Source organism: Homo sapiens, chromosome 6, assembly GCF_000001405.40.
Source record: "Homo sapiens chromosome 6, GRCh38.p14 Primary Assembly".
Lineage (NCBI taxonomy): Eukaryota > Metazoa > Chordata > Mammalia > Primates > Hominidae > Homo > Homo sapiens.
Genome location: NC_000006.12, coordinates 150,346,686 through 150,361,103, shown reverse-complemented (window position 1 = coordinate 150,361,103; position 14,418 = coordinate 150,346,686). Strand labels below are relative to the sequence as shown.

Below are 14,418 nucleotides of genomic sequence, written 5' to 3'. Positions count from 1 at the left end.
AGTTTGAGAGCCACTGGGCTACATGAAAGGCTCTTTCTCACATGCCCTGCTTTATTCCAAATTCAGATTCTCCAAACCCAAGCCCCTGCATTATCCAGAAAAGCAAATTATCCTAAAGATAAAACAATTATTGAAAATTGTTCTTACATGGTGTCTTAATAAAGCACCATTTTGCTTTTCTGCAAATAAAAAAATAATCATCAGAGCTAGTAATTATTTCTCACTCTTATTTTTCCTCTAAGAATAAATTATTGGGACACTATTTTTGGTAAACAAGATGGCTCTTGACAAAGGCATGGCTGCTTGGCATTTAAGAAGATGCCTGGTGGCATCAGTTTGCTGGAGCTGCTGGGGCAGAGTATTGTAACCTCTATGGCTTAAAACAACAGAAAACTGTACAGTGTCTTGCACATAATAAACTCCCAATAAATAGATATTCAAAGCTTCAGTAAAGAATGGAAGTGATGTTTTTAAAACTATTTTAAGGCAAAATAATCTGGTCACAAAATCAGGGGCCAATAAAAGCTGTGGCAGGAAGGTGAGTCAAAGAACCATTGCAGCAGTTCAAATGAAAGCTAGCAGGGGTCTTATTTGGAAAGAAAACCATGGCACTGGGAAGAGGAACTGTTTGCATAAAATTTGGCGGTGATGCCATGGAATACTATGCCGCCACGAAAAAGAATGAGTTCATGTCCTTTGCAGGGACATGGATGGAAGCTGGAAACCATCATTATCAGAAAAATAACACAGGAACAGAAAACCAAACACTGCATGTTCTCATTCATAAGTGGGAGTTGACCAATGAGAACACATGGACCCAGGGAGGGGAATATCACACACTGGGGCCTGTCGGTGGGTGGGGGACAAGGGGAGGGAGAGCATTAGGACAAATACCTAATGCATGTGGGGCTTAAAACCTAGATGGTGGGTTGATAGGTGGAGCAAACTACCAGGGCACATGTATACCTATGTAACAAACCTGCATGTTCTGCACATGTATCCCACAACTTAAAGTAAAATTAAAAAAAAAAAATTGGTGTTGGTGGAAGTGACATGGTCCCAATGTGGAGGACTATGGGGTGGGAATTAAAAGTTATATCCCACCTTCTCCAAGCAAATCACGTATTCCCATCCTTTGCCTTACTCCTTACTTTCCCTGGGGAAAGGGTTTCGGATTTCCCCAGCTTCATGTACTATTCAACCTGATGAGCATTTAAGTGGAGGCATGATGGGTTTGGGGAGAGGCTTTTCATAGAAAGAGCTTTCAGGAAAAAAAAAAAAAGCTCAAAAGAAAATATGGGCCTCAGAAAGTTGAAGTTGGTTCTGGAACGTAACTCATCAAGTGAGTCTGTCTCTGTTCCAATCAAAGCATTAATTTTGAGGTTGAGGGGTTTTCTAAGTGTCTCTTTTTCTTACCCAAACAATATCTGAACATGCTGCTTGGGTCTTGGGTAGGGGCCTACAAAATAAAAATTATAGTAATTCTCCAACCACCATATTACATGATTTTTTGAAATCAATGCCTTTATATAAAAAAGCTTAACCACAAACAACATGACATGCATTCAAGAAAAGAGGATAGAAACTCTGTAGTGCTATTAGTCACAAATGGTTTTAATAGGAAAATGTCATGTTCCAGAGCAATATTATGTAAGAGTTATCAATAGTATATTCGCTTCTTATGGAGACTTAATTTTTACAAAACAAGATAGTTTTTTTTTTAAGACAGAGATAAGGTCTCGTTCTGTCACCCAGGCTGGAGTACAGTGGTGCAAGCATAGCTCGCTGCAGCCTCAAACTCTTGGGCTCAAGCAGTCCTCCCACTTCAGCCTCCCTAGTAGCTGAGACTACAGGGTGTCTCTCAATAAAGGCACTTGTTGCTTGGCATTTAAGGAGATGGCTGATTATATTAGTTTCCCAGGGTTGCTGTAACAAAGTATCAGAGTCCAAATAGCTTAAAACTACGGAAATGTATTATTCTCTCACAGTTCTGGAGGCTGGAAGTCCAAAATCGAGGTGTCAACTAAGAGGCAGGGCTCTCTCCTGATTACACTGGGGCCACCCAGATAATCTGGAGTAATTTCCCTAAAACAAACAAAGTTCCAAAACCAACCAAAAATCAGTGACTATGGTTAAAAAAATTACAAACATTATCAAATCATTTTATGTGAAAAGAAGTATCCCAGCTCAGATGGTGAACTTTTTAAAGATTCAAAGAACAGATATTACTCCTAAATAAAAAGTTTCAGAGTATATATAACCATGAAAAGCTTCCCAATTTATTGAGCAAAATTAGTATAATCTTAATTTTAAAATGTTAACAAAGATAGCAGACCAGAAAATAAAATTAGTCTCATTTATGAATCCTACTCATAAATTTTACAAAAAGAATTGGCCATTTAAATTTATTAGCATGTTTAAAATATATTTTCCATAGTCAAATGAGATTTACCCAAAGGATACGGGATAATTAAACAAGAAGAGACCTGTTACACGTTGAGAATCCCCAATTTGAAAATCCAAAATTCAAAATGCTCCAAAATCTGAAACTTTTTGACCCAACACGGCACTCAAAGGGAATGCTCACTGGAGAATATCAGAGTTTAGACTTTCAGATTAGGGTGCTCATCTATAACACAAATCTTTCAAAACCCCCAAAAATAAAAATTCCAGAACATTTCTGGTAAGAGGCATTTCAGTAGAGATGTTCAACCTGTAATAAATCACAACTGTTGGTCAAATTTTTAAATTATATAATAATATCCAAAGATTTCCAGAAGTTATCTGATATTTAACATCCACTCTGATTTTTAGAAACTTCTTTAGAAGCCAGTAATTTTAAAAATCTATCTTAAACTCAATCAACATTGTTACTGATAAAACACAAGAAGCAATTTTATTAAAATCAGAAATCAACATACAAAAGAAGGAAAGAAAGAAAGGGAAAAAAGCTCACCCTAGCATTTTTGTTCTTGAAATTCTGGCCAAAAAATTAAGAATGAAGTATATAATAGACCCACTATTATAATGAAATGCACTATAAGAACTGAACATTTTTAAAAATCAGATGGCCTGTATCTTAATTTTAAATCATTTTGAAGTGGATTAGAACAGAGATTTGCAAAGTCAACTGAGAGAGACACTGGCTGGCTTTGCTTAGCCAACTGTAATGATAATTATAAAATCATAACTCATGTTTTCATAAGCATTTCCTCTGTCAGGTACTGTGATACTCACTTGACAGCATTTAATACTCACTTCAGATCTACAAGGTAGATGTCAAGAAGCATTTTCCTCCCTCACTCCTTACATTCCCACCTAGAAAGAAAGAGATGTCCACTGGCTCCCAGGCCTCTCTCTCAACCTCCCCTTGCTCACTGCTTCGCAGAGGACTCCTGCAGGACTCTCGCCCCTCTGCCATCTCTATTTCCTTGAGGCCTGCCCAGATGCACGAATCATTTGTTCCTCCCAGGAGTAAGCCTACTGGAACAGAATTGGTTGTGGGATTGGCGGGTGAGAGAGATGGAACAAGACAGTGTTAGTTGTGAGGAGGAAGAAGTGGAAAGCCCGATTCTACCCCCAAATCCACCTGCATTCTTCAACTGAGTTTTCTCAGTAATGAAACTAGTGATTTGGGTTGATCCATCTAACTTCTGAGTCTACATCTGAACTCTGAGGAGCAGAGGGAAAGGTGGTAACAATCCCATTCAAGCCCCGCAGCGGGCACTCTTACTGTCCTTATTTTATTAAAGAAATCGAGGCCTGAAGAGTGTATTAGGCTGTTCTTGTGTTGCTATAAAGAAAGATCTGAGACTAGGTAATTTATAAAAGAGGTTTAATTGTCTCACGGTTCTGCAGGCTGTACGAGAAGCATGGCATCAACAACTGCTTAGCTTCTGGTGAGGGCCTCAGGAAGCTTACAATCATGGCAGAAGGCGACGGGGAGCCACTGTGTCATGTGGTGAGAGCAGGAGCAAGAAAAAGAAGGACGAGGTCCCAGACTCATAAACAGCCAGATCTCATGTGAACTAACTGAGCAAGAACTCACTCATCACCAAGGTGATGGTGCTAAGCCATTCATGAGGGATCCATCCCCATGATCCAATACCTCCCGCTAAGCCCCACCTCTAACACTGGGGATCACATTTCAACATGAGATATGGAGGGGACACACATCCAAACCATATCAGAGGGGTTAAGCAACATACATGAGCAGTCTTGATATGTCTCCAAGACAGGCCACTGAGAAAGACAGGAGGCAGCCAAATGCCAAATAGATGGGGGCGGGGCCCTGGTGAAACCCCAGCTCCAAACAAAGACAATCTAAAGCCTGAAAGCCAAGCTACAAGTTAAATCCTCGGACCAGATTGAGAACTTGTCTTCCTGTTTGGCATGCTTTCCTCTGATTGATCCCCACACGTCACCTATGTTGCATATACCTACACTTTCCTAATTGGTTTCCTATGCTATTGTGTGCACCTTTGGGTGGTGTCTTTGCTTTAACCTTTTTTGTATACTCACAAACCAATCAGCACACTCTTCCCATCCTGTGGCTATAAAGACCCCAGACTCAGTCAGTAGAGGAGGAGATGACCTGACTTCAGGGAAGAGACAACCTGACTTTGGGGAAGACGATCTACTCTTCCTGTCCCCTCTCTAGCTCCCCTCTCCATTGAGAGTTGTTTTCATCACTCAGTAAAATTCTCTGCCTTCACCATCCTTCAATGATCTGTGTGACCACATTCTTCTTGGACTCTGGACAGGAGCTCAGGACACACCAAATGCGAGTCCCCAGAAAGGCTGTCACACTGGCCCTTTGCCCTCACTGGTGGAGGGCAGCTGCCCCATGCAATGATACAAGGGGCCAATTGATCTACTAACATGCTGCTGTCTGTGGATGGCAGAATTAAAGGAGCACTGTAACGCCCCCTCTTGGGCCTCAGGGTTGCAGGCACCCTCACCTGGGTGCTGCTGCATTCCCCTCAAGGTGACACAGCTGGTCTGGCCACAAGCCCTGCACGGAGTTTGCTCCTGTGTCAGTGCCCAGAGCCATGGGCTGGATTTTGCACTCACTAGCTCACATGCACCTACCCACAAGGGGCTGAGCACAGTGGGCTGAGTAGATGGGCACCCCTTCTGTGAGTCCGGCAAAGGGGCCAAGAAAAATCCTGCATCACCACCATGCTCATACCAGCTAGACACCTGTGATGTAAAAGGCACCTTCCTGAAGTTGCACAGTGCCCAACTTCCTGCCCCACGTGGTGGCTGCAGTGGTCCTGGTACCCCTTGAGAAGAGTGTCCTAGGTGGGAGAGTGTGGTCATAGGGTAGGCAAACACTCATCTTTACAAAGTAATACCAAGCAGGCTTCCAAATTGTTCATCAATCTGCAGTCCTCCTGCAGTAGTCTACAACATTACAGAAAAATTCATCCTGAAATTTGTTGGATGGTAAGAAAGACTATTCAAGTGTCACCTAAACAAACAAAAAAATCAAGGTTTTAAAGAATTAAAGTAGTTTTATTCAGAAGTCTTGAGGACAGAGACTGAGGCCAATAGCCCAGGAGCATTCCTGTTAGACTGCCCAGAACAGTGTTTCAACCCACTGCTTACATAGAGATGGCAGGGTGTCAGAGTGTGCAAAAGCACATCAGACTTGCTCAGAAGTCACATTATCACAGAACTACATCAAAGTCTGGGTGTAAGAGCATATCTGGTTATAAATTACAGAGGTACAATCGCTAACTCTGTCAGACTTTTTATCTCCTATGTAGGAAGAGGCAAGGATTAGGGTTATTTATCTTTTAAGGAATACAGTGAGTCAGGGAAGAGATGTGGGAGGCCGTGTTCTCTATCTTGGTTTGTCTTCAAAGCTGCACATCATCACAGAGGCAGGGGTTTTGTGAAATTATGTGAGCAAGCAGAAATGAACAAATAAGGTTTCTTATGTTTGCTACTTTGTCTCACACAAGAAAGTATTGCAATGGGGGTTTTGCTATAGGGGAGAGAGATTGGGCTCAACTCCAAATACAACAAGGACAAGTGGAGATTTACAGCCAAGGAGTAGAGCAAGGGGTCAGTAGATGGAAAATTACTAAGAGGATACCTCAAGGCTAGGGGGATTATTGCTGAAAGCAGGCCAGGGTGATAAGACATCAAGGGTGGGGAAGAGGAATTTGATCAGATATCAAAGATGGTCAGAAACCAAGAGTGAAGTTTGAGGAATTTGGTCAGATATTGAGGGTAGGGGGAATCTTAGATAAACTGACCCAGCAGTATTCTTGCTAAACCTGGACTAAGTAGGCCAAGGGCAGAGTCCAAGGTCAGGACTTAGTTGAAAAGGGGGCCCTGAGGAGCTGACTTGAGTGTGGTCAAGGAGAGAGTCTTTGTCAATGAGTCTTTGTTAAAAGAGGTATAGCTGTAGCACATCTCAGCTCTGAGAGTGGCTGAGGTGGGAGGATTGCTTGAGCCCAGGAGTTTGAGACCAGCCTGGGTAACATAGTGAGACCATGTCTCTACTATTCTTAAAAAACTTAAACAACATTTTTTAGTGAAAAAAAAATGTTCAAACCCAACAGCAAAGAAATGTAAATTAACAACAGAATACCATGTTAAATTACTCTAATCAGTATACCAACTCAGCTAGACTCATGGAATTATATTAAAATATAATAGTCAAGTTTGGCAAGAGTGAGATAAAGTAGTCTTTCTCATTTCATACACATCTGGGGTATGTAAATTGATACAGCTTTTGTGAAAAGAAAATTGCCAATATTCATTAAATATCATTTGAAAGGTAATTTTAAACAAAAAAAAATTTAGAAATAAACCTCAAAGAGTCTGAAATGCAAAAGAAGCTTTTTGCATAAAAGTGCTCATTTCAGCACTACTTATAATAGCACAAAATTGAAAACAACAATAAACAGCAATACCAAAAAGGTGATTAAATAAATTGTGATGTACTATTAAAAAGCAAAATACTGTTTTGTGAAATATTTAATAATATGAAGAAATAAATGGGAAATTATAAAAGTAAATTGAAAATAACATTAGCCATAAAACTTTACATTTCAAAATTTTATATAAAACCTATAATACAATATTAAATTTTAAAGGACTATATGAGTATTAGAAATGTGCATAGAACAACTTAGGGCATGGATCAAAATATTAATACTGGTGATCTCTGAGTCATACTTGATTTTCAATTTTCCTATTTATATTGTTCAACACTTTTCATATTTTCAAAAATCAATACATAATATTTCTATAAATTTTAAAAGTTAAAAATATATATTATTTAATATATTAAAACTCCCTTACTGGTGTTCAAGGGTCTAGAGTCATTAGTGAAGAAACATAATATCATGTAATGTAGTGCATGGTCTGGGTCAAGCTGCCTGTGTTTCAGTCCTGAATTTGCCACGTGCCAGTGGTGTGAACTTAAGCAGGTTACTTAACTCCTTTGTGCCTCAGTTTTCTCCTCTGTAAAATGGAACAATCACAGTACCCAGCCCATAAGATGTAACTGAATTAATATGTGTAAAGTGCATAGAACAAGTTTTATGAAAGCAATGTTATTATTATATATAAAAAGAAAGAGTTATCAACCAGATTGCACATTTCTTAAAAACAAGGCCCATTTTTCTTAGCTCTTTTATATCTTTTATATCTTTATTACCACCTTCCCCCCAAAAAACTCAAAAGTAGTGCTGGGCCAATAGTGATGTTCCTTGCCTATAAAATAAGAGGCCAGCCCCTTCTTGCCCATTCCTGTTATTCATTTTACTTCAGTATTACAAATGTCAGAAGGGACCTGCCCAGCATGGACGGACTGTGAAAATATGGCTCTATCTTCAAAAATGTCATCATCATATTACCAAAGCACAGTATCATTATTGAACATTATAGGCAATGAGATGTTAAGGAAAGCAAATCTCAAGTAGCCACTTGGATTTTTATCAAAATGCTCTATACAACTTTTGCCCTTAGAGCAACAACAACACCTTCTGGCAGCACAAGGAACTGGGTGGTTGAGGGCCTCCTGTGGCTGTTGAGAATGAAGAGCTATTGGCCTTTGGGTAAGGGGCAAGGAATCCTAGAATGTGGCCCAAAGAAGGTGGTGGGAGAGTCTGATCTTGATTTTAGGAGTTGGTGAGTAGTAGGGGAATGGGATCCCATTCAAGGGAAGATGTAGACATCAGGAGAGAATCAAGTTATCCAAGCAGAGTGACTTTGAGGTTGGTAATGGGAAACTAAGTAGGAAGCTGAAGGGAGAGGGGAGGTCAGAGTGTAATTGCCCAACAGGTTCTTCCTGCCCACTGCACCGAGAAAACCAATTCACTGAGATGGCAGTATGGCAGTAAAGAAAGAGTTAAATTAACATGAGGTTAGCCACGCAGAAGATAGAGTTTATTACCCACAACATCCTTCCCAAGAACTCGGAAGCTAGGGTTTTTATGAATAATTTGGCAGGCAGGCAGGGGGCTAGGAAATGGGTGCTGCTGATTAGCTGGGGGTAAAATCATATGGGTGTGGGAAATGGTCCTCGCATGCTGAGTCTGCCTCTTGGTGGGGCCACAGGACTGGCTGAGACATGAGTCATGGGTCTGGATGGGGTTGGTGAGTTGCCAGAATGCAAAAATTTTAAAAACATCTCAAAAGACCAATCTTAGATTCTACAATAGTGATATTATCTCTAAGAGCAATTGAGGAAGTCACAAATTCTGTGACCTCTGGCCATATGACTCCTGAGCAGTAAGAAATTATAGAAACTATGCCTACATTTTAGCAGAATGCAGGCCCCTCTCATAATCCTAATCTTGTGGCCTTTCATTAGTCAGGGTTTAAGCCCCTGAAGAAGGAAGGTGTCAGTTTTAGGGAGGGACTATTATCATCCTTGCTTCAAAGTTAAACTATAAATTAAATGCTTCCCAAGGTTAGCTTGGCCCACACCCAGGAATGAATGAGGACAGCCAGCCTGTGAGGCTAGAAGTAAGGTGGACACAGCCAGGCTAGATTATCTCGCTGTCATAATCTTTGCAAAGGCAGTTTCAGGAGAACAATAGCCACCAAAACAGAGGCAACTACTGAGCACTGGTACTGTCCGCCTTGCTGGGGTGATGGTTGTGAAAAGGCTGGTTTGGAACTCATGGCTGATGGTGTGATGGGGTCTCCATCTCCAGCCAGGGAGTGCAGCCACCACTCACTAGTCCAGCTGTCATCCCTGCTAGGTCTTACCTATTTGAAGACACACTGGGTCTTGTTCAGCATCACTCCCTCTTTCTACATCCAATTATTGGTCACCAAGGGATCCAAAGGTCTGGCTCTCTAGCCAAATCTAGACAGTTCTGAAGGGTGATCCTATCTTCAGAACTCCCTGTAGGCTGAGCTGTGGCATCTGTGGTGATGACATCACAGCCCAATGTCTCCCTCTGCCCAGTCCTGCTTCTTCGTCTGCCTCCTGCAGTGTTGACCCCAAGAATTCTCCCTGATAAAGTCCTGTGCAGTTGATAATCTTCCCCTCAGAGTCTAGGACAGTCCCCTCCGGCGGAGGTTATATCCTAGTGGGACAGCTGGAAAGCAAACAAGCAAGCAAACCAGTAAATACTTTCAGGAGCTAGTAAGTACTAAGAGGAACAGAAAAGGGGTAAATTGATAAACAGTGATATGACATAGCTAGGGTGATCAGGAAAGGCCTTTCTGAGGAGACAACTTTGGGACTGAGAACTGAATGACAAAAAGCATCAGAGTCAATGGTCAAGATTAGCAGGCATTGGCAGAACAGAGAAGGCCGCTGAGGCTGGAGTGGGGTGGTTCAGGTTGAGTGCAGTAGAAAATGAAGTTGGAAAAGGGCCTTTCTAGATAGGAGCTTGTGGGCTATGATAAAGAGTTTGGGTTTTATGCTAAGTGAATGAAAGACTCTGAAGGGTTTAAGTACTGGAGAGACCTGATCTAATTTAGGTTTGCAAAAGATCACTCTTGCTACTGGGACAAATAAATTAGAGAGAAGAGTAGAGGCAGGAAGATTATTCAAGAAATTCCTGCCTACATCTACACTGTTTCTCAAAAGGCAAGTTGCAGCCCAGTCATGGGTAGTGAAATAAAATACAATGGTTTATGACCTTAAACATTTATTAATGAAATAGCATAGGCTGGACTAGACTATAAAAGAAAATTGAGTGCATGGCATTCTGTAACAGTAAAAGCTATTTCATGATTCTTACTGTAGTGAAAAATGTTCTTGGCTATGTGCATTGCTTCAGGATTAAAAGCAAACTTCTTGGTGGGGCACAGTGGCTCATGCCTGTAATCCCAGCACTCTGGGAGGCTGAGGCGAGTGGATCATCTGAGGTCAGGAGTTCAAGTCCAGCCTGGCCAACATGGAGAAACCTCATCTCTACTAAAAGTACAAAAATTAGCCAGGCTTGGTGGTGTGCCTATAGTCCCAGCTACTCGGGAGGCTGAGGCAGAAGAATCCCTTGAACCTGGGAGATGGAGGTTGCAGTGAGCCAAGATCAACCACTGCACTCCAGCCTGGGCAACAGAGGGAGACTCCATCTCAAAAAAATAATAATAATAAAATAAAAGCAAACTTCTTATTGTAGATCTTAGTAACAAAAGGTTGAAAGACACTGGTCTTGATTGGGAAGGCACACTGGCGTGTACAAGTTGCATTATGTAACCAAGGCCAGGAAAAGATGACTTAAGAAGGAACTAAGAGTAGGCTGTGGCCGGGTGCAGTGGCTCACGCCTGTAATCCCAGCACTTTGGGAGGCCGAGGCAGGCGGATCACGAGGTCAAGAGATCAAGACCATCCTGGCCAACATGGTGAAACCCCGTCTCTACTGAAAATTCAAAAATTAGCTGGGCGTAGTGGCACGCGCCTATAGTCCTAGCTACTCGGGAGGCTAAGGAAGGGGAATTGCTTGAACCCAGGAAGCAGAGGTTGCAGTGAGCAGAGATTGCACCACTGCACTCCAGTCTGGCGACAGAGCGAGACTCCATCTCAACAACAACAACAACAACAAAAGAGTAGGCTGCAAGGACAAAGGGAGTGTGGTGTCCTACAGTAGTCAGCGGAGTCAAAGACACCTCAAGAAGTAGTAGGGACAGAACAGGTGAAACAGTGCATAGGCCAGTCTCAAAAAGACCAGAGGAAAGACCAGAGCATAACTAGAGGGTCCAGGAGGGTGCAGAGCAGCTGCAGTGAGATGGTTTGCACTTTTGAAGCCATGTCAATCTTGGCAGAAGCAAAATATTCTCTCTTGTTTAAAAAAACAAAAAAAAAACAGACTCCACCACAAGCTGGCAGGCACACACTTAGAGAGGGTCCCAGTTTCCGTTTGAGAGAGCAAGTTCATGAGCTTGGAAGGAACAGGCCAATTGTGCAACCTCACTCAAAAGGGAGGAGTTCCTCTCGTGGGTGGCAAGCTCCATGGCCCTCTAGGAAATTGAAATGGAAGAATAAAGGTGTCACAGCCTGAACGACAAGACAGTGATGTTGACAGTAATATTTAAGGTGAGCTGGAGAAGTCTATGAGCAAGCATTTCGGAGAGCCAAGGGCATCCTTCTACCAATAGCTTCCACAGGTCTGTAGTTCCACACCATTCTCTTTGATCTTCGATCTCTGGGCCTGGTGCCATGGCTCATGCCTGTAATCCCAGCGCTTTAGGAGGCTGAGGCAGGAGGAGCCCAGGAGTTTGAGACTAGCCTGGGCAACATAGCCAGACTCCATTTCTCCAAAAAATAAAAAAAAATAAAAAATTAGCCAGGCGTAGAGGTGTGTGTCTGTAGTTGCAGCTACTTTGGAGGCTGAGGTGGGAGGATTGCTTGAGCCCAGGAAGTTGAGGCTGCAGTGAGCCGTGATGGGGCCACTGCACTCCAGCTGGGGCAACAGAGGGAGACCCTCAACTTAAAAAAAAAGTCCTCTGGACACATATGTCTAGGAAATCTTGGATTCTGTATTCTTTCTTGTTACGTGTTAAATTGTTCCCCCCAAAAATATGCTGAAGTCTTAATCCCCAGTACCTCAGAATGTGAACTTATTTTGAAACAGTGTCATTACAGATGTAACTAGGTAAAGTAGGCTGGGCAGGGTAGCTCACGCCTTTAAGCCTGGCACTTTGGGAAGCCAAGGTGGGTGGGTCACTTGAGCCCAGGAGTTCGAGATCGGCCTGGGCAACATAGGGAGACCTCATCTCTACCAAAAAGTAGTACAAAAATTAGCTGGGCATCATGGCATGCGCCTGTAATCTCAGCTACTTTGGAGGCTGAGTCAGGAGGATCACTTGAGCCTGTGAGGTTGAGGCTGCAGTGAGCTGTGATCACGCCACTGCACTCCATCCTGGGCAACAGAGCAAGACCTTGTCTCAAAACAAACAAACAAAACGAAACACAAAATAATTAGGTAAATTGGGATAAAGTCATACTGGAGTAGGGTGGGCCCCAAATCCAACATGACTGGTATCTGTATAAGAGACCCAGGGAAATGGGCCTGGTGTTCATATCAGACACAGGGAAACAGCTCTGTGATGATGGAGGCAGATTGGAGTGATGTGTCTACAAGCCAAGGAACACCCAAGGATTGTCGGCTGACACCAACAGCTAAGAAGAGGCAAGGGAAGATTCTCTCTACGAGGTTCAGAGGGAGTGTAGCTGATGTCTGGTTTCTGGCCTCTGGAGCTTGGAGAGGATCCCTGTTCTTTAAGCCACTGGCTTTGTGGTGCTTTGTCATGGCAGCCCCAGGAAACAAATATAACCTCAAGAGTCACAACTTACATATAGCGTCCAAAAGTCTAAGAAGCCCATGGTTTAAGACACAGAGACCTAAAATAGTGCTTAAGAAAGTTATTCTAAGGAAGATGTGCTTTCATCCCAATCTTGACACTTTGGTGTGCTACTTATATCATGCTACCTTCAAGGGTCCAACCAGAAAGGAAGAAGTTAAACTCTCAGACCAGATTTCAGAGAAACCCTGTAAAGCCAGAGGTTTGGACTCACAGCGTCAGGCCAGGCTTCTGTACCATTTTAAGGCCTCTCGGCTGTAATGATGCTTTCACTTCCCCTTATCACCTGCCTCCCGCGCTGTGCCCACCCCAGGTCTGTTGGCAGCAGAGAACTCACAAGAGAAGGTGCCTCAGCGGATGCTGTTTCTGTCTTCATCTCACAGTCTTAATCTGGGTGGAAGAAAGGCAGGAGAGAGGCCTTATCTCTTTTCTAGGGAATATTCCCATGCAAACAACAACAGGGTGAGAACCAGAGCCATCAACATTCTGGTGAATAGAAGTCAATCGGAGGAGTCCAGCCAGTGGCGAGGTGGCTCATGCCTGTAATCCCAGCACTTTGGGAGGCCGAGGTGGAAGGATTGCTTGAATCCAGGAGGTCGAGAACAGCCCTGGGCAACATGGTGAAGCCCCATGTCTACAAAAAAAAAAAAAATTAGTCAGGCATGGTGACACATGACTGTGGTCCCAGCCGCACGGGAGGCTGAGGTGGGAGGATTGCTTGAGCCTGGGAGGTAGAGACTGCAGTGAGTGGAAATCACACCACTGCACTCCAGCCTGGGTGACGGAGCTGAGATCTTGTCTCAAAAATAAATAAAATAAATTAAAAAATTAAAAAGTATATCAGAATGCAAAGTATTTCAACAAGCTTGATAGAACTGAACTGTCTATTAACTAAGAGGACTCTGGCTCACGCGTCTGTCTGTTTAGTAGAACATTCACATCAATTACCACCACTCTGCTGTAAAACAAGGAAGAGCTGAGTGATGTGAAAAGCAAAGTTGTCCCAGGAGAGGAGGAGGGCGTTGCTGAGGAGAGGTGGAGTGCCAGGGATGCCAGGAAGTTGATGATGGTGCTGGTCTTGCCCAAACCCATTTCCTCTCATGGATTTGACATGGAGCTTATGTGATATGATGTGAACCTATTCATTTGATCTCCCTTCTGGGATGTTACCATAGAAATCAAGGCAATATTCAGCATTCAGAAGGCTGAAGTGTCATTACCAACGAAAAAAACTCAGTTTGTAGAGTTAGGAACACTGGCGGAAGGCTACTGAAGGAAATGCAGAGGTGGCTTCAGTGGGTGACATCAAGTTCAAAGTAACCACAACAGGGCCGGGCACAGTGGCTCATGCCTATAATCCCAGCACTTCGGGAGGCCGAGGCAGGCGGATCACCTGAGGTTGGGAGTTCAAGACCAGCCTGACCAACATGGAGAAACCCCATCTCTACTAAAAATACAAAATGAGCCGGGCGTGGTGGCACGTGCCTGTAATCCCAGCCACTCGGGAGGCTGAGGCAGGAGAATCACTTGAACACAGGAGGCGGAGGCTGCAGTGAGCCAAGATCGCACCACTGCACTCCAGCCTGGGCAACAAGAGTGAAACTCTGTCTCAAAAAAAAAAAAGTAATCACA

The 14,418-nt window shown here is 43.1% G+C and overlaps 1 annotated feature.

The window, feature by feature from the left end:
• Nucleotides 5,565-5,765: a silencer, noted in NCBI's record as "peak6214 fragment used in MPRA reporter construct". NCBI's record gives its function as "represses an SCP1 promoter by STARR-seq MPRAs in K562 erythroleukemia cells {active_cell/tissue: K562}" and the evidence as "EXISTENCE:reporter gene assay evidence [ECO:0000049][PMID:32103011]".